The sequence below is a fragment of the Homo sapiens genome, chromosome 13 (genome assembly GCF_000001405.40).
Source record: "Homo sapiens chromosome 13, GRCh38.p14 Primary Assembly".
NCBI lineage: Eukaryota > Metazoa > Chordata > Mammalia > Primates > Hominidae > Homo > Homo sapiens.
This window is the reverse complement of record NC_000013.11, coordinates 101,073,364-101,098,680: the sequence shown is the minus strand read 5'-3', so window position 1 is coordinate 101,098,680 and position 25,317 is coordinate 101,073,364. Positions and strand designations below refer to the sequence as shown.

Genomic DNA, 25,317 nt, shown 5'->3' with positions numbered 1-25,317 from the left:
AAGTAGATACACCAACATTTAGATCACACACAGTTCCTGTTAAAGACAACGAAGCTTCAGTTGCTGCGCCCATAGTTTCCAGTTGGGAAGATGTGTTTTCTTGTATGAGGCTGAGCACTTCCTCCCTCTGCTCCTTTGTTTGTTGTCTTAAAACTCAACAGATGTCATGAGATCAATATAGATATAGATATGGAGCCTAGGACTTTGTCACCAAAACCCTGTAAACAAACGCTGAGGATACCTTTTGACAAATAGTCATTAAATGTCAGTTGTGTCCAAGGCACTGTGATAGGTGAAATGAAATGTGGAAGGGAAACATTAGGAGGTCCTTGCTTCTGTTTTGTGGCATTTTCTGTCCAATCAGAACGTGTTTCATGTTCAAGCAACAGTAATATAAAGTCAGCAGTTTTCAAAAGCCTATGAGAAGCAGAAATAACATGTAATCTATGATGTCAGCATGGGAAATTGTGCTTCCAACTGGGAGTACTGTACTGGGAGGGCTTCAGGGAGGAGGTGGGATTTGAGATGAGCAGGAAAGGACCTTCCAAGGAGAGCAAGCAGTGAAGAAGGACACGGAGCATACAAAGAAGGGTCACAGTGTAGAGGCAGGGACCGAACAAGGAGGAAGGAGCATGGGCTTCGAAATCACAGCTTCTGAGATTGGAATCCTACTTCAGGAGAGGTGATGGCCTGGTCTGGTCACTTAATCCTTCTGGAACCTATTTCTGCCTTGAATGCTTCTCACACAATGATATTATGAAGATTAGATTACCTTGTTTATGCGAAGTACCTAACCTGATCTCAACAGTGAGTGTTAATTTCATTCCCGCCCATGTAGGAAAAAACTGAAGAACAAGGCCAGAAATGTAAGTTAGGGAGAGATCCTCAAGTGCCTGAAATGCCTGGCTAAGGGGTTTGGAATTTCGTTGATGAGAAGTGAGAAACCACAAAAGGTTGGTAAGAAGAGGAATCAGACACATCCTAGTGCCCACAAAGTACAAAGCACCATTCCTAGTGCTGTTTTTGTTACCCATATCCTAATGAGGATATCCATTCCTAATGAGGAAAACAGGTGTAGAAAGATTAAATAATTTGTCCAAGGTCACCCACCTAATAAGTGGAGAAGCAGGGAACTAGTGTCCAGGCACCCTGGCTTTTCACCAAGATACCAGACTGCTTCATGCAATCAAAGGTGGGCTCAGGTGGGTTCAGGAAGACAAATTGGAAAAGGCAGTGAGGCCAAATATGTCAAGGGACCTTTATACAATACACTACAACACAGCCTTTCCAAATAATGTTCTACATAAAAAGGTATGGTTATGGAAAGATAATCGCAATGTAGTTTTAGCTGAAAAAAGTGGGCGATGGAAGAATATAAACTTTATGAGCTCAGATACATATAGGAAAAAAGACTGGAAGGATATACTCCAAAACGTTCATTGTGTTTGTCTGTGGCAATTGTGGGTAAGTTTTCTTCCTTTTATTTGTCCAGGCTTTATAAATTAAAGATGTGTTATTTGCATTAAAATATTCTTATTTTAAAGAATCATGCTGGTAATCCAGAAAGAAGTAACGTTGGCATTACTAAACTCATCGTAGTAAGAATGGAGACTTGGGCCAAGAAGGACAGGGAAAGCCCAGGGAACCCTAAGCTTGATGCTGGGCTTCTGCTGGGATGCTGGTCCAGGGACAGAAAGGAGGAGGCCAAGAGGAGACATGGCTTAGGGTCAAAGAGGACGTGAAGCAGATTAAAATGGAATTTTTGTTGAAATATTCAAACAGTGATCAAGAATTTTACCATCTACACCTTGAACCCAGAAAAGAGATTTAGGTTCAAAATATGACCATCATAGCCAAAGAAACAAAAATAACCAAAGGGAGAATAGGAAATGAGTCAAAAACTTCCTATAGATGTTTAATTTTTAAAACCTTTTTAACAGCTTTATTGAGATGTAATCCACATACCACACAATACACCCACTTCAAGTGTTCAATTCAATGGTTTTTTAGCGTATTCATAGAGTTGTATACACGACAGCCACTTTTAGAACATTTGTATCTCCTTGAAAAGAAACCCTATGTCTCTTAACTATTACCCCCATCCCTTTAGCCTCCACCTCAAGACCTAAACAACAACTAATATTCTTTTTGTCTCTATAGAGTTCACTGTTCTGGACTTCTATATGAATAAAATCATAACATATGGTCTTTTGTGACTTTTTTCTCAATTAGCATAATATTTTCAAGGATCCTCCATGTTGTAGCACGTATCAGGACTTCATCCCTTCCTATGGCTGAATAATATTCACTTGTATGGTTGGACCACATTTTGTTTATCTGTTTGTTCAAAAATGGACATCTGGATTGTTTCCACCTTTTGGCTATTGTGAATAATGCTTATATAAACATTTTATACAAGTTTCTATAGGGACATATATTTTCATCTCTCTTGGGTAGATACCTAGGAGTGGAGTTGCTGGCTCATATGGTAACTCTGTGTTAGTGGTTTGAGGACCTGCTAGAATGTTTTCCAAAGTGGTTGCACCATTCTACATCCCCACCAGTATGTAAGGGTTCCAGTATGAGGATTGCGATTCCTCCACATCCTCGCCAATGCTTGTTGTTATCTGACTTTTTGGTTATGGCTTTCTCAGTGGGTGTGAGGTGATATATCATTATGGTTTTGATTTGCATTTTCCGGATGGCAGATGGCACATGATACTGAGCATCTTGTCGTGTGCTTTTTGGCCATTTGCATATCTTCCTTGGAGAAGTGTCTACTCAGGTCCTTTGCTCATTTAAGTAATATTCTCAGCATCGATTTTTAACTGCCTGTCTCCAAAGTCTTTGTTACTATTTGCTGGGTAGCTGTCCACATCACTGTTGTTAGATAAAGGGCTTTTGGGATTCCGTGAAAGAAGAAAGAGTTTCCTATCCTTTATCTTTTCTGAGTTCATTTTCTGACCAGGTTTCCCCTCTCCTCTTGTTTTTCTACTTTAGGAAGATTGCAATGGCATATTCAGAATTAATGTCAGTGTGTCAAAGAACTTAAATTTAAAATTGAGGCCTGGAGAGAAAAAACCTGGATTTTGGGTGCCCCGTGTTTGGTAAGTATATCATAAAAAAATATTCTGAAGAATGGTGTGTTTGTCAGTATAAGGCTTTAAATAAGTATCATATGGCATGTAACTAAAAGTAGTTTTGCTAGAGATGTTAAAATGATCTTAAGTCATACAGGGCGAAGCGCTAGATTATATTGGAAGATAGAAATAAGGTAAAAAATAAGAGAGCAAGTAGTGCAATGAGTTCTATATAGCTTCATGAAACTAGAGAAATATTATCTCAGTATTTTTCTAATACTTCAGAAATATGTATCTGGATTCAAATGCCTTAAAAAATTAGGCTTAACAGGATTTTCTGTCAAATTAAAACTAAACTTATCCTGAGTTTATATCTTTAAAGGAGGATCTGATGTCCTCATAATAGAACCCTAAATCATAAAGCTATTTCCATTTTAAAACCCATTTACACTGAAGGACTTCCATTATTGAAACACTAGAGAGGAATAATCAGTGACACAGTTGATTGCTTCTAACTTTCCCTTTAATATTCCTTTTTCTTTAAATTGAGTTTTCAAAGCACTTAGATCAAAGCTAGAAATACCTAGTACCTTCTTTCTTATTTTATTAATGACCATGAGTGAATCTCTCAGTCTGTGTCATTGGTGAACTGAGTGTTCTGTCACCTTCATTTGTCCTTTAAAATTATTATCTGTTTTTTAAGTTTTCTTTTAGAAAATGTGTAAGAATAACAACTGAGTCACAGCACCTCTGCTTTTGTCACAATTGATGTTCTTTTCTAAATGTCAAAACTCTTTAAAAGGAACAGCATTTCACCCAGCTGTACCCTAGCACTCACTGTTACCTCTCTTTGGCATTTTTCTCATATGAAATTCGCTTTTATACGTAATCCAATAGAATGCATATTGGGTTTTTATTTTTTAAAATATCCAAGAACTGAGAAAAAGGATTCATTTGGGGTATGTGGCTTCAGCTTGGAGAGAGAGGAATGTGAGACATGAGAATATCCTGGCCCCACTGCTGACTAGAAAAGCCGTCCAATTTCCATTGAAATAAAAATTAAAGGAGCATAAAAATTTTCTTCCATGAGATAAAAATTAATTATAGCATAAAGTTATTTATGTTATAATTTATTAATTTTTATTAATTCAAAGATAATATCATGGAAGTAAATGTAGTCAGGAATAGAGAACACTGGGGCATTTCATTTCCTTCACTATAGAGAAAGGTAGAGGGTGCCTCCCACCTCTGCCAAGTGAGGTACCCCAGGGGGATCACTTAACGTCAGAGATGGGCAGGGCAAGAAGAGAGACTCTTGTGGCCAGGCTGCTCATCACCATCTGGAGAGCAGGGTTATCTGGTGTTCCTGGAGAGCCCAGTAGTCACTGCCTAGGGCCACATCATCTGAGTCCTCTTGAGCCTTGCGGCAAAGGGCTTTGTGCTGGGAAAGGGTACCCCCCTCCAAAGGGTCCGTAGGTGTGTTTCCAGGAGCCAGACTTGAGAATCACCCAAAGACTGCACACTTACAGGAGAAAAGGTGCAATGAGGCACTCCTGGGCTGGAGAGGGGGTTCAAACTCTTGAACACCTATGGCCAGAATCCAATTGTATCAGATGCACAAGACTTAAACTCCATTCCTCCATTCCTTTCAACGACATCCCACCTCAGTCATGTGAGAATCTCGTGGTGGCCTGAAGAGGATGAGTGGAAGTGAAGAAAGTGGCCAACTTTTCTTCCTTTCCTCAAACCGGGGTCCTTGAGCTGCTAAGGATGGGATTGTTATATGAGTTATAGGATCAGTTGGATGTAAAACTGAATTACTGAAAATAACCAAAAAGCTCTGGGACCTCCCCAAGAATTCAGACAGGGAGCTGGAACACACTTGAAGGTAGTGTTTGGAGAAAAGTAAACCTGCCAGTTGTGCCCTATAGCACTCAACCTAGTCCATAAAACCAGCTACATGGGATTTTTAAAATCAAAGTTAATTTAAATGCAATATTTTATGGAAGGTATTATTAGGGGTTTCAAAGGCAATGCCATTCTAGAAGCATAAGCAAATAGCCAGGCATTCCTTGAACATCATCACAAGTGCTCTTGTCCATTTCTCCAGGATAATGTGACTTGGATTGTAGTGAAATAGACACCTTCGATCTAATAAATGTCATCTGTAACCATGATAACTTTTTACACTTTCCTTCTTAAGTAAGCTAATCAAGAGTTGGAAGCTGAAATTTTGTAATTTTATATTGGCTAAATTATGATTAAGAAAATAACATATCTAGGAATACACTAGAGGAATGCTTTGGTAATTATAATTAGGACATAAATATGCACTAATTCAGGAGACAGTCTAGTTTCAATATTCTCTCTTCAGATTAATAAATGTACTTTCTTCTGAATCACTCAGACTTGATGAGTCACCTCAGTAAAAAGGATTAAACATATCATGGATTATAAATACAGTGTGATTTATTTTAAGAGGAGGTCTGGAATATAGGAAAATGGCATGCATGGGAGAAAAACTAACAAAGTATTCAGGCTTATAATAAATGTATTTATTGAGTGCTTGCTCTTCACCAGCTAGTATGCTTGTCACTGTGGTAAGGCCCTGAATAAGCGATGGCCCCTACCCCTTAGGAGCTTAAAGTCTAGTGGGAAACAGAAAATAAAATTACAAATAATTTTATATAATATGCTAAGGGCTTTAATGCTGCACAGAGAAGCCCCTAAGCTTACCTCTGGCTCACCCGAAACTCATCTCCATGTAATGTTAAGCTACACTGTGATATGTTCTAGGAAGAAGGTGATCAGGTTTTATAGGGTCTAAGGCCCAAACAATTTGGGGTACCAACATCTCAGAAGGGCCTGTACAAAAGAGGGGTCCTACCCCTTAGGTTTCTTTGGCTTCATCATATACCTGCCTCTGATTCCTACAGAAAGGCTAAGGGTACAATGGACACACAGGAGAAGCACCTAACCCCAACTATGCAGGGCCAAAGAGAAGGACCAGATGAGAAGACACACTGGTTACCTTTTGAAGGACAACCAATAGGAACTAGCCAGGTGAAGGGGGCAGGGTCAGAGGCAGGTGAGGAGGAAAGTCTAGGCATAGGTTTGGTATTACAAGTTAAGGCAACTCTATGCCCAAAGCTCAAGGCAAAAAGCGTTGGGGTGCTGTAGGAAGTACGACGTTTCTGATTTCTTTTAGGAGAGATGGTTGTGTAAGATACAGCATGCCGTTTTTGGACAAAGTCTTTTTCTGCATTTCCACATCCAAGGGCAGACGCTCAGTCACGTCTTCAGGGTGCCCCCATGTTCCCCAAGGGAAGAGCAGCTCTCCCTACCTTGATCTTGGGGGGCCTTGGAGCACCTCCTCTGGGAGGTAAAAAACTGACAAAATTATGTGGTCAGATCTAATGTCTTAGTTTTCTGAATTGGACAGGCAAGATTACAATATTTCACAAATTAACCAGAAAAAATGACAACCTTTTCAATTCAAGGAAGGGTAGCAGGTAAAAATGACAATAATAGATGGCATTTGGGATTTATTGAAGGACTCCGTAGTTACAGGTAAAGTTTCAAACTTTGCAACTTTGCTAGCATGAAGAAAGCATAAGAAAACACTTTACATGATTAAAACTGAAAAAGACTTATTTTTTTAATGTGATAAATTCTTCCAACTATTGAAGTCTTTGATGCTACATTTTGTTTTACTTGGTTTAGTTAGAATATTTTTCACATATTCTAACTTCTAGAAGATCTAGAACATAACAGTAGTTTCAGTGGCTGCAAATTCAGCTAAGAAAGCACTTCTACAAAAGAAAATGAGCAGGTAAGGAAGTCCAACACCGGCTCTGAGAACCGGTTCACTTGCTTGTAAAAAATCCTTATTCAAGCAAACTGTGGCATCTGTAGAATCCTTATAACTTCTGTCTACTGTAAAATATATGAAATTTAGTGGAAACATCCCAAAGGAAAGATTGTTGGAAGCATCCAAAAGAATATATTTGTACTTTCATACATAAAAAAATATAAAGCAGAATTCCAAAATATGCATTTCTGAGTGGGGCTTTTGCACTATATTAAAGACCGTCTCCACTAATCAGCCCTAAGCCCTTAAGAACAAATCAGTTTCAGTTTAATGTTTTCTTCTTATATCCTCATCTATTTAATATTCAAAAAACTTATGAAGGCACATCTTGTGATTGTCTCTATAGTTTAAAAAACATAAAAGATGGTAGAAAAGTACAGAACCAGATTTTCCCTAGAGCGTTGCCTGTCCTGAGGGTTAAATTTTGAGAAATGAGCTAGCAGGGGGAAAAAATGATCAAAATATAATTTAAATAGGCTCCAAGGGGCCTACTCTAGTCAGTGGTCCGGAGCTCAGTTCTTCATTAAATTCAAGAAATATAGTCCATGATTTTCCAGTGTTTGGTTATCAAAATCTTAATTATTTAAAATTAGCCTCTAATAAGAAGGAAAGAGGGGGAAAAGCCACTGAAAGCTTCTTCTATTAACAACAAAAATGTTAGCTAAGAACCATAACAATTAAAGAAGATGCAATCTAGTAAAAAGGATCACTTTTATAATTGGGAAGAGAAAAGTATAACCATGTTAAAAGAACAAGAAATGAGACATCCCTGGCCCCCACAGAAGTGGGAGCTAAACAGTGGGTACACCTCGACATAAAGTTGGAAACTCTGGACAGCGGGGACTTCAAATGGGAGGAGGAAGGAAGGAGGTCATAGGTTGGAAAAATTACCTGTTGGATTCTGCGTGCACTATCTGAGTAATGGGTTCATTAGAAGCTCAAACCCCAGCATTATGCAATACACCCATGTAACAAGCCTGCACGTGTACCCCCCAAATCTATAAGAAAACAGAAAATGAATAAGCCAATGAGTTTCAGGAATCAGGAATCAGCGGTGGAGGTAGAAAGCATACCACCCATAAAGGGGACCAGACTAAGAGTCCACTGAGAAGACTCAGAGTTAATAAGAAAAAATCCAACTGGAAGAGAGTAATTTGGAAAAATACATACTACAAGCAAACACCTCTTGCCGTCTCAGTGACCTCTAAATGCATCACTACTTTCCAGCCCTGTGTTCACCATGATGACACAAAGTGAAATAAAGTGACTAAATTCTACTCTACACTTTCTATACTAACACAGGCAATTGTAATTTATGCCTTTCGAAAGATTTTCAGTTACAAAACTATTTCAAAATCCACATCCAAAATCCAATGCTTCTTTGTGCAAATCGATAAAATCATCTGTCCAGTCCTCAGGGTAATCAGGACAAGGTAGAAATGTTGCAGAACCTCTCAAGCTAGAACTAGAGCTGTTTTACATTGAGATCACCCCATCATTACCTAATGAACACAATCAATTATAACACATTGATGCATTGTTATGATTTAGCAAACGAATGCCATATAGCGTAAAAATGTGTGTGTATACATATACACACATATGTATGTGTGTGTGCACGCACACGTGTGTGTGTATATATGTGTGTGTATATACACACACACACACATATCCCACACTCATGACTGGAAAGGGCTACAGATATTTGCCTTCGGGTGCTGCTTATTGGAATTTCACAGAACATTCCTGTATTGGAATCGCAGGGCGAATCCTCGGAACTTTAATTTCGACAATGTGGGAAACGCTATGCTGGCGTTGTTTGAAGTTCTCTCCTTGAAAGGCTGGGTGGAAGTGAGAGATGTTATTATTCATCGTGTGGGGCCGGTAAGCGAGCACATCGAATCCTTTGAACACTTCAAGAGCAGCTTTCATTTGTTTTGATGAATAACCATATTTTCCTTTATGCAGATCCATGGAATCTATATTCATGTTTTTGTATTCCTGGGTTGCATGATTGGACTGACCCTTTTTGTTGGAGTAGTTATTGCTAATTTCAATGAAAACAAGGTAAGGATTTTTGGTTTGGATACCACAGGGTTTAGCCTTTTCTAGCCACTCACTTTGAGCTATTTGTTTCTTTTCACACGCGGCGTGAAGCCGCTTTAAACTGTAATGTGACTGGTGTAAATAATCTCTATAACTGTTTTACAAGCTCCCTCATTGCTGCTTTTCAGACACATTATTTAAGAGTACAGTTCTCTTGCTAAATTTACCCTTTTGGTAACAGTGTCATTAATTCACCGACAACTGAGAGGCGCGTCTCCTATTGTTCAAATTGAAAAGAAAGATGGGCAGCAAGTTATTAAAATACAATAGATGAAAGTGATTCGCTAATTACAGGTAATATTACTTTCACTAAATGTAAATTGTATGCTTCTGTGTAACTCAGTAGGTGAACTCAGGATTTTGATGGGGGTGAGGGGAGTCTGGTAGAAATTTCAAAATCCTAATTCACAGAAAAAAAGATTTTGTGGCAGGGCATGGTGGCTCACGCCTGTAATCCCAGCACTTTGGGAGGCCAAGGCGGGTGGATCACTTGAGGTCAGGAGTTCAAGACCAGCCTGGCCAACATAGTGAAACCCTGTCTCTACTAAAAATACAAAAATTAGCCGGGCGTGGTGGCGCATGCCTGTAATCCCAGCTACTGGGTTGGCTGAGGCATGAGAATCGTTTGAACCTAGAAGGCAGAGGTTGCAGTGAGCCGAGATCACACCACTGCATCCAGCCTGAGCAACAGAGCGAGACTCAAAAAAAAAAAAGAAAAAAAAGAAAAAAAGATTTTCTAATTTCATATGAACTTGACATACTTTGTGAACTCGGGAAGCCTGTTGAGTTTGTAACAGCTCTAATGATTAGAACAAAGGCTCACAAATGGGAAAATAACAATGTAGTTTCCTATCAAAGTGTGAGTTTGGGGAAGAACATTCTATTAGCACTCCTTGGAGAGGGGCTTGCTCATCTAGGCACTTGAGCTATGCCCTCTATTGTTTGAGACGCAGTCTTTGGAATCATAGTAAGGGAAGTGCATGCAGTTTTTGAGCACACACTGTGTACTAAGATTTTACATATTCAATCAATTCTCACAACTCTCAAATGCACGGTTGCAGAAAAAGCAATGACTAGTCTGGGGCTTATAAGGTGTGATAAACAGGGCCAGAATTCAGAATTGGTGCCTATTACCGCAGGCTCTGTGATTCTTCGAAGGCATGAGTAGAATAAAGTCAACCTTCACTCTGCATTAAGTTGAAGCTAGATCTGCCTGTAAAGCACCGTGCTGCTCGATGTTATTCATGGCTAGGACTGATTCCCATGCGTTCACATCAGAGCTCTTCAGTTTGTGTTGCTACACATGGGACTGTATCTGTCATTCACTGTCCTCAGGCTCAACGTGAGTGGTACCAGTTAGCCAGTCAATTGACACCTTTGATGTGTGGCTAATGAGCATGTCATTTCATTCAGGCTTTCAAAGGGTGAGATTTAAAAATTCCTCTTTTGGGCCCCGACTCTACTTGGACCCTCAGAAACATGGGATGTTAGAGACAGAAAGAACAGTAGTGATCATGTCACCCAGCCCCTTATTTTACTCCTATCACATTCATTAACGAGATGCTTTGAGCCCTACAGTGTTGAGTTTAATACCAAGCAGAAAGAGGAAGAAGGATCTTTTTAGATGCCTTTGAGCCATGTAATGCAGCAGACACTGAGAATTCTAGAATATAAGCAGAAGCTAATCAGTCAATTAACAGGAGAGTTTAGGCACTGCTTGCCCAGAACACCGTTAAGAAGCCGTCTGAGCAGACACCTGATTTCAGGAAGATTAGAATGTATCACAGCTCACAATTCAGCAACATACATAGAACAACATAAAATGTTCAGTAACTGGAAATAAATGTATAATTAATTGCAACACTTGAGCTTAGAGAAGTGGCTGAGGTTAGCAGAATAACCAGGGAGGTCTCCATCCAGCACTGTATTTATGTTCTGCAGGTAGGAAAGAGTAACGTGGCCTGTTTGGGGGATCTGGGGCGTATGTTCTATCAGCTCAAATGGGCACTTAAAGAAAGGAGAAATTGACAAGAAATTATATTACCAAGCTTTACAAACTTGATTTGTTAATTGGAGATATCAATTGCTAAATTATGTGAGCCTTTTAGAAAAGTTTCTTTCTCTGCAAGTTTTTTTTTTTTTTTAGAAAGCAGCTCATGAGCTGCCATCTAACAGCATTTATACATTATTCAATCATTCAACAGATGTATTTGAGCATCTACTAGGTGCCAGAGGCTGCTCTTGACACTGAGGACCTAGTGAACTAACCTAAACACTAAACACAGAAAAGTTATTTGCCCTCATGGAGCACACATCTTAATAGTCATACCCAAAGGCACATAGGTAAATTTCCAAATGTAGAGACAACAGAGATAGAAAATGAGGGAATCTTTAGGGTACAATTCAGAATCATGCAAAAATATGTCTTCTTTTGAAAATGGAAACCTCTTTAAAGAGTTCCAAGTCTATATTAGTAATATAGATTTTTTTCTGATTTCTCTACTATGTAAGACAATGTGTTTGATTTATTAACCTAACTTGATAATAATAAACTTTCAGAGGTTTTTATATATTAATGATCAGATGATATCTCCATGCCTATTATTCTTTTAGATCCTTTCAGAGTTCAACTTTCCAAAATTTTTTTTATGTATAACAAAGTAATTACATTAGTGTCTATGGTGGCCAGAGAACAAGTGTTTGCTTATAATTAGTGAGAAAAGTGGTTTAGCAATGTGATTATCAGAAAAGAACAATTTTAAACAAACACTATTATTGGGAATAAATGATGTACTAAAGAATGACAAAATAATCACCAGAAAGATATAGAACTTCCAAATCCCAAAATGTACAAAGCAAAAATTAAACAAGTTGTAAAAAGAAGCTAGAAAATCCAAAATCATAGTGAAAGATATTAACATATATCTCAAAAAATCTCATAATTCAGAGTAGAATAAAAGGAAATATGAGATTTGATACAATAAACACAATCAAGTGAATGTATAAGGAAAACTCTAATTACAACAATTTGAGAATGTGCATTATTTTCAAGCACAAAATGTGTCTCCCAGAAGGCCATAATTACCCAAGAATTGATAATGTAAGAATGTTTTCTGACCATAATGAAAACAAAAACAAAAAAAACTCTACAATTTGGAAATATTAAGACAATACTATAAATAATTTATGAGTTGAAGAAATTATAATAGAAAATCACAAAATATTTACAGACAAAACATTTTATAGCGTCATATACAAAAACTAATGAGGTATAGGTAAATCAGTAATTACAAATAAATGTATCGTTTTAAGTGTATATATTAAAGAAGAATCACAAGTTAAATATTAATATGTCAAATATCCAAATCAATAAATTATAATAAAGTAAAATCAAATAAAGTAGGGGGGAAGAAAGTAACAAAGATTAGGACACAAATTAATGATACAGAAAGTAAGGAAACTTGTATAGCTTCTATAATATTCAAGAATAACAAAAGCTGGGTTTTGGTTTTTTTTAAATCAAGTCAATAAACCTCTAGGAAGGTTGAACAAAAATAAAAACATGAAACAAGAAAGTAAGCTACAATCATTAAAAGAGTGTCAGTATTGTTATAGGTATAGAAAATTAGACTTACAGAAAAAACTAGAAAGACCCAGCAGGGACCCATGTATGTAGAAAACAGAAGCAGCTCAACAAATTAGTGCAGAGGGTGGTGAGACCAACAAGGAGTGGTGTTGGGAGTATTGATTGTATTGATGTAAAGAGCTATGCTGAGATCTCTACCTCACTGCATACTCAAAAATGAATTCCAGATGAATTAAAGACTTCAATATGAAAAGCAAAATTTAAACCATTTTTAAAGCATGTCAGCATTTATTTTTTATTTGAATTTCAGATAAGCAGCAAATAATGTTTTTGCCTTTATTATTTTTAATCAGCGCATAATTGTACATATTTATCGGGTACAGTGTGATATTTCAATTCATGTATTATAATGTGTAATGATCAAATCAGGATAATTAGCATATCTATCACCTCAAACATTTATCACTGTTTTGTGTTGGGAACATTCATAATCCTCTCTTCTAGGTATTTAAAAATAAACAATTAATTGTTGTCAATTAGATTCACCATATATTACCATGGAACACTAAAATTTATTCCTCCAATCTAGCTGTATTTTCATATCCATTAATCAACATTTGACTATCCCTATTCTAGTTCCCCTCCCCACCCCTAGTAAGCATTTGTTTTTTGCCCTGGAGTAGTTATGGATTTCATCCCATTAGCCACCAAGTGAAATCTGTAAAGGAAAAAAATTATAAACTCGATTATATTTAAATTAAAATGTTCTGAATGACAAAAGACACTCTAAGCAAAATAAAAATACAAGCCAAGACTAAGAGAAAATATGTACAACTTACATAATTGATAAAAGATTAGTATCCAGCATGTATAAAGAATCTCTACAAACCATTAAAAAGTAAATATCAAAATACAAAAATGAGCAAAGGATATGAATGGGCAATTCACATAGGAAGATACAAGCATCACCATTTACACACATGCAAATGTTTCATCTCGTTAATATTAAAACAACATTAGATACATTTTCACACCTATCAAAATGGTCAGATTACAATGTCTGGCAATATCAAGTATTGCAAGAATATTAGGATATGGTAACACCTGTGTATTGCTGGTAGGAAATTTGTTTTGGTTTTTGCTCTTTGGAAAGCAAGTTGGCAACATCTGGTAAATGTAAAGATGCTTAAATTCCTAGACCCCATCAATTCTTCTCCTAGAGATCAACAATGGAGAAACCCTCATAGATATTTACTGTGAGACAGTACATGGATGCTTATTGCAGCATTGGTTATAGTCCATAAATCAAAAATGAATAACTTCGGATATTCGTACAGTGGATGGTGTTTGTGAGCAGTTAAACAAATTAGATTTAGTAATCTAGTTGTATGGAAAGTATACTGTTCAATGCAGATATAAAGAAACAGCATAAATAATCACATGTTGGAGTCCATTTCTATAAATATTAAAAAATTCAGAACAAATTCTTACGTATTGATTCATGCGTAAGCACAAAAGTCTGAAAACATAGTAAGGAGGATGCACGCCTGAAGGGTAGTGGTTAGCTCTGGGTAAGGAAAGGGAGAGTGGGGTTTTTGTCTAGTTTTTAAAATTACACTTCAGCTTTTATGATAAAATATAATGCAGTGCAGTGCAATACAATATAATATAATTTTAATCATATGCATTTTAATCAAGTACTCTATTATACAGAATATGGAATTCCATTTAGGCAGTTATCACAGCACTACTTTCTTAAAATGCAAACTCTATGACTTTGTATCTCTCAAAAACAGTTTTGCAATTGCACATATTAGACATTTTTTAAAGAAAGACAACATACCCTTAACTGGAAGCCACAGCATTGACAAGCTATAATTTTGCTGCTATGAAATGAAAGGAAACTAACTACTATTAGTGAGTATCCTTTTTTGAAAATGTAATTATGTAGAAACTCCTCTTTACATTTTCCCAAACCTGAATATTACACATCTCCAAAGATACAAGTCGAAGGCTGCTGAATTCTCTCTGAAACACCTGGTCATCATTTTGGGAACTCCTCCCGAGACCAACTTTGAGCATTCTGACCATGTTTCTCTCACCACCACGGTTGGAAGAACATGGTCAGTGCAAGCCCTCACATCAGTCCTGTTTGTCTCGGCACCCCATCTGCCATGTTCTTGGTGCAAGCACATGACAAAAGGCCTTTTCCTGCTTTCTTTTGTCTGTTAAGGGGACGGCTTTGCTGACCGTCGATCAGAGAAGATGGGAAGACCTGAAGAGCCGACTGAAGATCGCACAGCCTCTTCATCTTCCGCCTCGCCCGGGTACCCAAAATGCTCTGATTTTATTCATGTTGGGCACTAGTGTGCACGATTCCCCAGGAGTCTCAGATTTAAATTAAAATAATAATCGTGAGGCCGCTGGGAGGTTGTGCATAAGGTAATACAGAAACAGGCTCCAAACCACAGATCTCTCCATAAGGCTATTAAAATCAACCACCCAAAGGCTGTGCTTCAGTGCTCTCAGACTAAGCCTTAATGAAAAAATGAATTTTTAAATAAAATATATTTGCTCTTGCCTTTTAAAAATATAAGTGAAATGTATTAAACTGACAGAAATTGAATGATGCACTTCTCCTTCCAATATAGACGGCATCATGCACTGTCGTTTTGAATATTCAGAGCCAGCCATTGCTGCAAAAACACCTCACAATAGACGGAACTGTTTGGGGAGAAAAATGTAATGGGTTTTAAGATAAGCATTTAAGAAAATAAACGACAAGAAAGTAAATGTGACCTGTGTCTAAAATGCCCTTGCCCAAACCTTTCTTTTCTAGATAATGATGGTTTTAGAGCTAAAATGTATGACATAACCCAGCATCCATTTTTTAAGAGGACAATCGCATTACTCGTCCTGGCCCAGTCGGTGTTGCTCTCTGTCAAGGTACTTCGTTTCACCCTAAGACTCCGGGAATGAATTTTGTATTCACTGCTACATCCGAGAGTATCACAAGCTGCTATATGCATTCACGGTTATGTTCTTGGGTGTAAAAATTAAGATTCACTGTCAATGGCAAAGTGGGCAGAAGAGGGGCAAGCCTGTATGTGTCCGATGGACGTGGGCAACGACTCGTGTGCTGTTTCTGTTGCAGTGGGACGTCGAGGACCCGGTGACCGTACCTTTGGCAACAATGTCAGTTGTTTTCACCTTCATCTTTGTTCTGGAGGTACTGTAATGAGTCAGCTAGCTCTGGGGGAATCTGTGCACAGTTTTAAAGTAAATCAGCCTCCCTCTTTGATGCCACTTACTCTCCTCTCTGTGTTCCATTGCCTTTGAAGTTTGCCCTTAGGATATTTCCTACTTAAGCGGTTCTGCTTAACTCGAACAAAGACATCACTTTATCCATCAGATTTTTCTAACTACAGAAATGCTGCTGTCGATTGTTGTGTCTGAACATTGGCCTGTCTAGTTATGCGAGTTCTGATATTTAGAGGGAATGGTGCAAGCCACTATAATTCATTGACTCAAATTGCAATAGAGACGCAAAACAAGTTGGCCCAGACAAGGTTATTTTAACATGTGATTCTCATAATATTGCTTTCCAGGGCAGTCTTCCTGAAATACAAGCAGATTCTTATTTTGCCCTACACTGGTTGATGTTTCCCAAAATCTATGGCCTTTTGCTTAAGGAAGAAAAATGTCCCATGATCAGAACTAGTCATAAAACGAAGAGGAAAGAGTGTAGAGAACACAGATTTGTAAGCTACTTAGCTTCAAAAATAAAATCATATATCTTGGTAATAAACTCTTATTTTTAGTTACTACATGTTTACAATTATTCTTTAAATAGATAGTATAACCGAGCATGCTGGCTCACTCCTGTAACCCCAGAACTTTGGGAAGCCGATGTGGGTGGATCACCTGAGGCCAGGAGTTTGAGACCAGCCTGGCCAACGTGGTGAAACCCCATCTCTACTAAAAATACAAAAATTAGCCAGGAGTGGTTGCACGTGCCTATAATCTCAGCTACTCGGGAGGCTGAGGCAGGAGAATTGCTTGAACCCGGGAGGCAGAGGCTACAGTGAGCCAAGATCATGCCACTGCACTCCAGCCTGGGTGACAGAGCGAGACTCAGTCTCAAAAAATAATAATAAATAAATAGACAGACAGACAGATAGATAGTGTAGGCACGTGGCCTAAAAGGAAACCTCAAAGGGCATTAAAGTGTTTGTCTCATTTTCAATGGAAAAGATACTGTGTCCACATCAAATAATTTAAAATTTTCTTCATTTGAAAAAAATACATACACATAATGCATCTCAAGTTAATACATTTAAATATGTACTAAACACTCTCTCTGTTTATTTTCTTCTTTGCTTTTTCTCCAGGTTACCATGAAGATCATAGCAATGTCGCCTGCTGGCTTCTGGCAAAGCAGAAGAAACCGATACGATCTCCTGGTGACGTCGCTTGGCGTTGTATGGGTGGTGCTTCACTTTGCCCTCCTGGTAAGCATAGAAGTCAAGTTGATTTCAGCTGATTATTTCAGTTTGGTTCAGTTCTGCTCAGTCCTGTTTCCAGTCTCATTTTACTCCACATCAACCTGCTCTGAGGTGTTAGATGGACCTCCCTAAAGCCCAGCTTTGACTGTGATGGGCTCTCAGACATGCTTGTGTCTACATGTACACACCCCCACACTCTTCACACAGGCAAAACCTGGCCCCTCAAAGACCTAGACGATGCAAGCTAGAAAGAGAAGGACCTTCAAGATCTTCTGGTTTAGCCCCTCATTTTACCAAAGGGGAAAACAAGAAAGAGAGAGGAAGACTGCAACAGAGACTGAGAACTGTCCAAATTCACACAAGCTAGTATCAGAAGACTATAGTCCTGTTTTCCTGTTTTCTCAGCTGAAATATAGCATTTGTTCCACTTTGTTATAATCAGTATTTCACAATGTGATTCTCAAGTGCTTCCACTGTTTCATTTTCTATAAGACATTTAGCCTCCACTTCTCTAAAGCATATGATTCTCCATCTCTATATCTGTGTTCTCACTATTTTACCTAAAGTGCCTTCACCCTCCATTCAGTCTGAGATCCCACTCAAAATCTGCAGCTATGGGTGTACTGAACTGTAATCTAGGGCCATATTGTCCAATGAAAATAAAATGTGGCCACAGATATCACTTAACATTTTCTAGAAGCCACAATAAAAAAGTAGTGGTTTAGAAAATATAACTATTAAATTGTTAATAATTATTAAATAAATAATAATTAATTATTTAATTATGTAATATATTTTATTATTTAAAATATGTATTAATTAAAAGATGCATTATGTGTATGTGTATGTATATATTTTTATTATTTATATAGTTATATATTATATATTAATATATTTAATTAAATAATTAATTTAATTGATTATATAATTAATTTAATAATTATTTAATTATATAATTATTTGGTTATAATTATTTATGTATAATTATTATTTATATACTTATAACTATTATGTATGTAATTATACTTATGTAATTATAATTATTTATATAATTTAATTATTAACAATTTAATAATTATATTTTCTAAACTATATCCAAAGTATTATTATTTTCATGTGTAAGCAATATAAAATTATTGAGATAAGTAGTATCCTTGTATCTGTGTGTGAAGTCTTTGGCTGAGTATGTATCTTACATTTACAGCATATCTTCATTTAAATTGCCACATTTTAAGTGCTCAGTAACCACATGTGGTTCCATGTGGCTGCTGGTTACCATGTTGGATAGCACAGCTCTGGAAGATATGGGTCCTAGTCTAGGTTCCACCATTTTCCAGCCTTGACTAATTTATTTGCCTTCAATGATCCTTTGTTTCCTGCTCTGAATGGCCAATATAACTTCATAATCCACCTATTCCCTCTGGCATTATGAAGATCAAGTGAGATAATATATTTGAGGCTTTCTTGAACTAGAAAGATTATACAAGCCTGTAGGCATTATTATAATTACCTTCTTTTTGTTAGTCATACTTGATCTCATCCCAAGGAATATTATCGGTTTTTCCCTGTTTCCTTCTATCCATTCTCCCATCCCCTTAGTGTTAGAGACATGCTGGGAAAGACTCATTTACACATCCTAAAGGGCTTGCCTTAATACGAGACGCTGTGCTCATGAACATAGTGAGCGTCCTTCTTAAACCAGTGGTTACCTTCAGCATCAGGGGCTGTATGAAGCCTAGGTGAGCTCTCAGTCATCCTGAAGTATTTTCTCAGCAATAAATGGTTCTCAATTCCTAGTACAAGACACAGTACTAGTAACTGAGAAGAATGTAATAAGCAAAACAAATATAGTTGCTGCTCTTGTGAACCTTATATCCTAGAAAAGTAGATAGATAGTCATCAATTGCTCACAAATCTATGAGTATAATGACTATGATGAGGGAGATGAAGGAGAGCCTGTGTTCCTGTGACAACATAGATAATAGTGGGAGATGGCTTCATCAGAGAGGTCTTGGAAGACATCCCCAAGGGAGTGATGGCTCCATCTGTAGGATAAGGGGAGGGCATTTCAGGTAGTTGTCCCTGTGATGGAAAGATGACAGAGCTGGAAGAAGGATAGATACATAGTACTAGCATAGTACAAGATTTGGATGGGTAAGAAGGTATCAGACCTCTTAGGACCTTGCAGTCCAGGTGAAGAATTCAGATTCTCATCCTAAAAACTATTGGTTGTCATTACTTCCAAAACATAAAGAGGGAAGGTATCTGCAATAGATCTTTAGCTAACATGGGAAGAAAAGGCAGCAAGGCCCATGTTTTTCCTTTCTCCAGATAAAATTTGTATTAGTCCCTTCTCACACTGTTATGAAGAAATACCCAAAACTGGGTAATTTATAAAGGAAAGATATTTAATTGACTCAAAGTTCCACATGGCTGGGAAGGCCCCAGGCAACTTACAATCATGGTGGAAAGGGAAGCAAACACATCCTTCTTCACAAGGGAACAGGAGAGAGAAGAATGAGTGCCCAGCAAAGGGGGAAGTCCCTTATAAAACCATCAGATCTTGTGAGAACTAACTCAATATCATGAGAACAGGATGGGGGAAACTGCCTCCCTTAATTCAATTATCTCCACCTGGTCCCTCCCACAACATGTGGAGATAATGGGAACTACAATTCAAGATGAGATTTGGGTGGGGACACAGTTAAACCATATCATTCTGCCTGGACCCCTCCCAAATCTCATGTCTTCACAATTCAAAATACAATCATACCCTCCCAACAGTCCCCGAAAGTCTTAATTCATTCCAGCATTAACTTAAAAGTCCAAGCCCAAAGTCTTATCTGAGAACAGGAAAGTTTCTGCTGCCTATGAGCCTGTAAAATCAAAAGCAAGTTAGTTACTTCCTAGATACAATGGGGGTACAGGCATTGGGTAAATATACCCATTCCAAATGGGAGAAATTGGCCAAAACAAAGGGGCTATAGGCACCATGCAAGTCCAAAATCCAATAGGGCAGTCATTAAACATTAAAGTTCCAAAATAATCTCCTTTGACTCTGTCTTATATATATCCAGGGCACACTGATGCAAGAGGTGGGCTCCCATGGCCTTGGGCAGCTCCACCATTGTGGCTTTGCAGGGTACAGACCCCCTCCTGGACTGGTATTGAGTGTCTGTGGCTTTTCCAGGCACACAGTGCAAGCTGTCAGTGGATCTACCATTCTGGAGTCTGGAGGATGGTGGCCCTCTTCTCACAGCTCCACTAGGCAGTGCTCCAGTGGGGACTCTGTGTGTGGACTCTGTGTGTGGACTCCAACCACACATTTTCCTTCCGCACTGCCCCAGCAGAGGTTCTCCATGAGGGCTCTACCCCCACAGCAAACTTCTGCCTGGACATCCAGTTGTTTCTATACATCCTGTGAAATCTAGGCAGAGGTTCCCAAACCTCAGTTCTTGACTTCTGTTCACCCACAGGCCCAAAACCATGTGTAAGCCACCAAGTCGTGGGGCTTGCACTCTTTGAAGCATCAGCCTGAGCTGTATATTGGCACCTTTTAGCCATGGCTGGAGCAGAAGCTGCTGGAAGGCAGGGCACCATGTCCCAAAGCTGCATAGAGCAGAGGGAGCCTGGGGCCCACCCACAAAACCATTGTTCCCTTCTAGGCTTCCAGGCCTGTGATGGAAGGGGCTGCTGTGAAGGTCTCTGGCATGCCCTTGGGGACATTTTCCCCATTGTCCTGGTGATTAGCATTCAGTCCCTCGTTACTTATGTAAATTTCTGCAACTGGCTTCAATTTCTCCCTAGTAAATAAGGTTTTCTTTTCTATAAAAATCATCAGACTGCACATTTTCCAAATATTTATACTCTGCTTCCTCTTGAACACTGTGTCACTTAGAAATTTATTCTACCAGATACCCTAAATCATCTCTCTTAAATTCAAAGTTCCACAGATCTCTAGGGCAGGGGCAAAATGCTGCCAGTCTCTTTGCTAAAGCATAACAAGAGTCACCTTTGCCCTAGTTCCCAATAAGTTCCTCATCTCCACCTGAGACCACCTCAGCCTGGACTTCACTGTCCATATCACTATCAGTATTTTGGTCAAAGCTATCCAACAAGTAGGAAGTTCCAAACTTTCCCATATCTTCCTGTCTTCTTCTGAGTCCTCCAAATTGTTCCAACCTCTGCCTGTTACCCAGTTCCAAAGTCGCTTCCACATTTTCAGGTATCCTTATAGTAGCCCCCCACTCTAAGTACGAATTTACTGTGTTAGTCCTTTTTCATGCTGCTATGAAGAAATACCCAAAACTGGGTAATTTATAAAGGAACGAGGTTTAATTGACTCACAGTTCTGCATGGCTGGGAAGGCCTCAGAAAACTTATGATCATGGTGGAAGGGGAAGCAAACACATCTTTCTCCACATGGTGGCAGGAAGAAGTATGAGTGACCAGTGAAAGGGGAAGCCCCTTATAAAACTATCAGACCTGGTGAGACTTAATCATCACAAGAACAGGATGAGGGAAACCACCCCAGTGATTCAATTATCTCCACCTGGTCCCTCCCAGGATACATGGGGATTATGGGAACTACAATCCAAAATAAGGTTTGGGTGGGAACATAGCCAAACCATATCGAAATGCAACCTAAAGCTACTGAGTCCAAGCAAAAGTCAAGTAGACTCTCTAATCCCAGATAACCTCAGAGAGGAAATCTTAAACCCAAAGACCAACTTCCCTTTTCTGCCTAATTGCCTTTGTTCTTCTCCAAGAACCTCTTTGGTCTTGGAAGGATGCTCATTCTCCACCGTATTTTGCAGTGGACTATTGGGAAGGAAAGTTCCCCATCCAAGGATGCTATGTGCACACATTCATGTGCTTGGACCTCACCAAGGATCTCACTGGACCCCCTTCGCGGGGCCCATCTGTGACTGTCATCATTTGGCTAGGCAAGCCTCCTTGAGAGTAATCACACTCTGGCATCGGCTGAATGTCAAGGTTGTTATTGCAGTTATAGCTGGTGGGATCTTTGTTTCTCAAATGAAGCTTTCTTATTCATAAAGTGCAGTCATCTCTTCCTGCTAATCACACCCTTGAAAAAAGAGCTGGATGTGTTCCTGAGCAGGGAGGACCTCTCTGAAATCAGCTTAGAGGAATGAGTGTATGTTTGTTCTTCAGTGGTGTCTAGAATCTGACTTCTGGCAATCTTTTCCACCATCAGCCCTTTCTCTTTGCCAGGATTCCTTTACCTCCTATGTCAGTTGACCTTCCTATGTTGCACTGTTATCCTGTGTTTTTCACACCCTGTATGCAAAAGAGCTGGTCACCATTTTATGTAAAATAAATTTCAAAATACAGAATTTAGCTGAGCAAAACAGAACCCGAAGTTTCATTTGAGACTGAATTTTAAATCTAATATTTATTCATGAGTTTTTGCAGTGACCTTTTCAGCACCTTTTTTAGATCACTTTCTTATAATAATTTACACATATTAAGCTAATTATTCAGTATACTTCACAGAAGGCTTAAAAAATGGAACTGTAACAAGATCTTTTGTGCAAATTATGAGAAGCTGTCTTCTGTTTAAATTTCAGAATGCATATACTTACATGATGGGCGCTTGTGTGATTGTATTTAGGTTTTTCTCCATCTGTGGAAAACATGTAAGTACATTGTTAAGAATCTTATCTTAAAGGTCATATATGTGTTAATGAAAGAATGGTGATTAATTGATTACAGCCTTACCTCGGTTATTTAGGGATGTAATCACAAATTACTAGACATCATAAGTCAAGATTAACAAATATTAAACATTGTTAAATGAATCAGTAGCTTAGTTATCATTCGATGTGTTTCCTGCCATTTATGTTGCTTATTCTTTATATTCAATAATTAAGTAAATTATTTAAATTTATTAATTTAATTAATTAAAGATAACCAGTCATGAAAACAAAAACCAATATTCTTTCTTAATGCATTTTTATTTTTATTTTCAATAAAGTTAAGTAACTTCAAAGAAAAATAATCTTTAATGAATTTTTATGTTTCCATGATTCCAGATTTTTTTTTTTTTTTTTTTTTTGAGATGGAGTCTTGCTCTGTCACCAGGCTGGAGTGCAGTGGCAGGATCTCGGCTCACTGTTTTCTCCACCTCCCAGGTTCAAGTGATTCTCCTGCCTCAGCCTCCCGAGTAGCTGAGATTACAGGCATGTGCCACCACACCCAGCTAATTTTTGTATTTTTAGTAGAGACAGGGTTTCACCACGTTAGCCAGGATGAGATTCCAGATTTTTTAATATTATTTGTTAATGTCCATGGGTATATTCCACATATATTTTTCATTTTTTACAATGCTGTTTCCTTTTTTATTACAAACGTTATTTCATATATACATTCCATATATACACATAACCAATATACTTAATATTTGATAGTTATTTAGTATTATACCATTGCTTAGGTTTGTTTTTGTGAAAGTCTGTTTGTGGAAGAAACCTGAGTTTACTTGCTGTCAGTCAAAAATGTGTAGCCCTTATCATAGAGAATTGAGGAGCAGAAGAGAAAATGGAAGGTGAAAATGCTTAGTGTTACTCTTATTAATTTGTGTGAAGAGGCTGAAATGTTTGAAGTAAAAATAAAATTCGCCCAACGCCTGGTGGGTTTTGAAGAATATTTTGATGTAATACCTTATAGAAAGCAACTTTCAAATGATACACCTAAGAGTGATTTTGAGCCAATCTGCTTAAAGATTAGTTGCTACCCAGGTCTTCCATAGCTTAATAGATTGAATATTCTCTCTCTCTCTCTCTCTCTCTGTCTCTGTCTCTCTCTCTCTCTCTCTCTGTCTCCCCGCTTCCCACCCCTGGTCCCCAGGTAACGCTAAAGATGCTCCTCTTGACAGTGGTCGTCAGCATGTACAAGAGCTTCTTTATCATAGTAGGCATGTTTCTCTTGCTGCTGTGTTACGCTTTTGCTGGAGTTGTTTTATTTGGTACTGTGAAATATGGGGAGAATATTAACAGGTTGGTATATACTTATCTTTCTATTCATTTATCAAGCAAACCCTTTGGTAATAAAATTTTAAATAAACAAATGTTTTTTGTCTATTAAAGTCTAGGAGAGGGGAAAGGGAAGTAATCAGTTGGAAATTAAAATAAAATAGCCAAGTTTTAAATGATATTTTTCCAGTTGAAAAAGGTTATTCAACTGAAAAGGTCTACTTTCAAAACCTTAGAAAAATTAGAAATAAAAGAAAACAAAAAGAATCTATAATTCCACCAACATTCAGTAATCATCACTCCTAATTCCAGCACTTTTTCTATCTACATATTGCCAAAAAATGATATATTATTTTTAGATGGAACAATTTTAAGATAACTCTGGGTTTCTTTCTCAGCAAAATATGGGAATTTAGAGCCCCCCAAATGGTTGTAATATATGAAAAGCAGTTTTCAACGATTTGCCTAAGTTTTATAGATGCATCATTTTTTTTCAAGTCCTGATACAACAAAGTATATACCGATATGTCAAGTTGTAGGAATTAGATACATGGCTGCCCCACCTTTTATAGCATCGTCCAAGTGAAAGAAGGAATCACTTAGTTGCCAAAGCCTGCCTACTTAGTCATTCAAGATGAATGGTAATAAATTAGTGGCCATGCTAGAGTTGGGTGTTCAGACGGCTATACTTGGAGGCAAGTATAAATGACAAATTAATAAAAAGGTATAACCTTTGGAAAAGGTGACTTAGCAACCAAATTTGCTACAACCTCCACTTGTTTTGGTGTTGGCAAACCATGCTATTTCATGACAAACCCTTCTATAATTCACATTCTGTTAATTTTTTTTTCTTAAATTAGGCATGCAAATTTTTCTTCGGCTGGAAAAGCTATTACCGTACTGTTCCGAATTGTCACAGGTGAAGACTGGAACAAGATTATGCATGACTGTATGGTAAATATCTCTCATCATGAACAAGGCTTAGACTTAGAATCAGCATGAAACTCTTGCAACACAATGTTGGCAGGATCATCCTTGTTAGCGTTAAGACTTTATGTATGAAATATAAATCCTGACACTTCAGTCCATAAAATTGCATTATTATACATTCCAATGTGTGAATATTTAGGGCAAAATACTCAATTAACCCAACTTGAGCTATTGTAGTTCCATT

General features: G+C 37.9%; 1 protein-coding gene across 10 annotated transcripts in view; it reads left to right on the top strand.

The window, feature by feature from the left end:
* NALCN (sodium leak channel, non-selective) overlaps positions 1-25,317 on the top strand; it is a 363,404-nt gene that overhangs the window by 318,499 nt on the left and 19,588 nt on the right. For all 10 annotated transcript variants that reach the window (XM_011521069.3, XM_011521067.3, XM_024449336.2 and 7 more), the window contains 10 exons: positions 3,001-3,107; positions 8,715-8,835; positions 8,920-9,018; positions 14,877-14,970; positions 15,483-15,589; positions 15,798-15,872; positions 17,035-17,154; positions 22,740-22,808; positions 24,019-24,167; positions 25,004-25,097. In XM_011521069.3, coding sequence (XP_011519371.1) covers positions 3,001-3,107; positions 8,715-8,835; positions 8,920-9,018; positions 14,877-14,970; positions 15,483-15,589; positions 15,798-15,872; positions 17,035-17,154; positions 22,740-22,808; positions 24,019-24,167; positions 25,004-25,097 — 1,035 coding nt within the window. The remainder of the gene's footprint in view (positions 1-3,000; positions 3,108-8,714; positions 8,836-8,919; positions 9,019-14,876; positions 14,971-15,482; positions 15,590-15,797; positions 15,873-17,034; positions 17,155-22,739; positions 22,809-24,018; positions 24,168-25,003; positions 25,098-25,317) is intronic.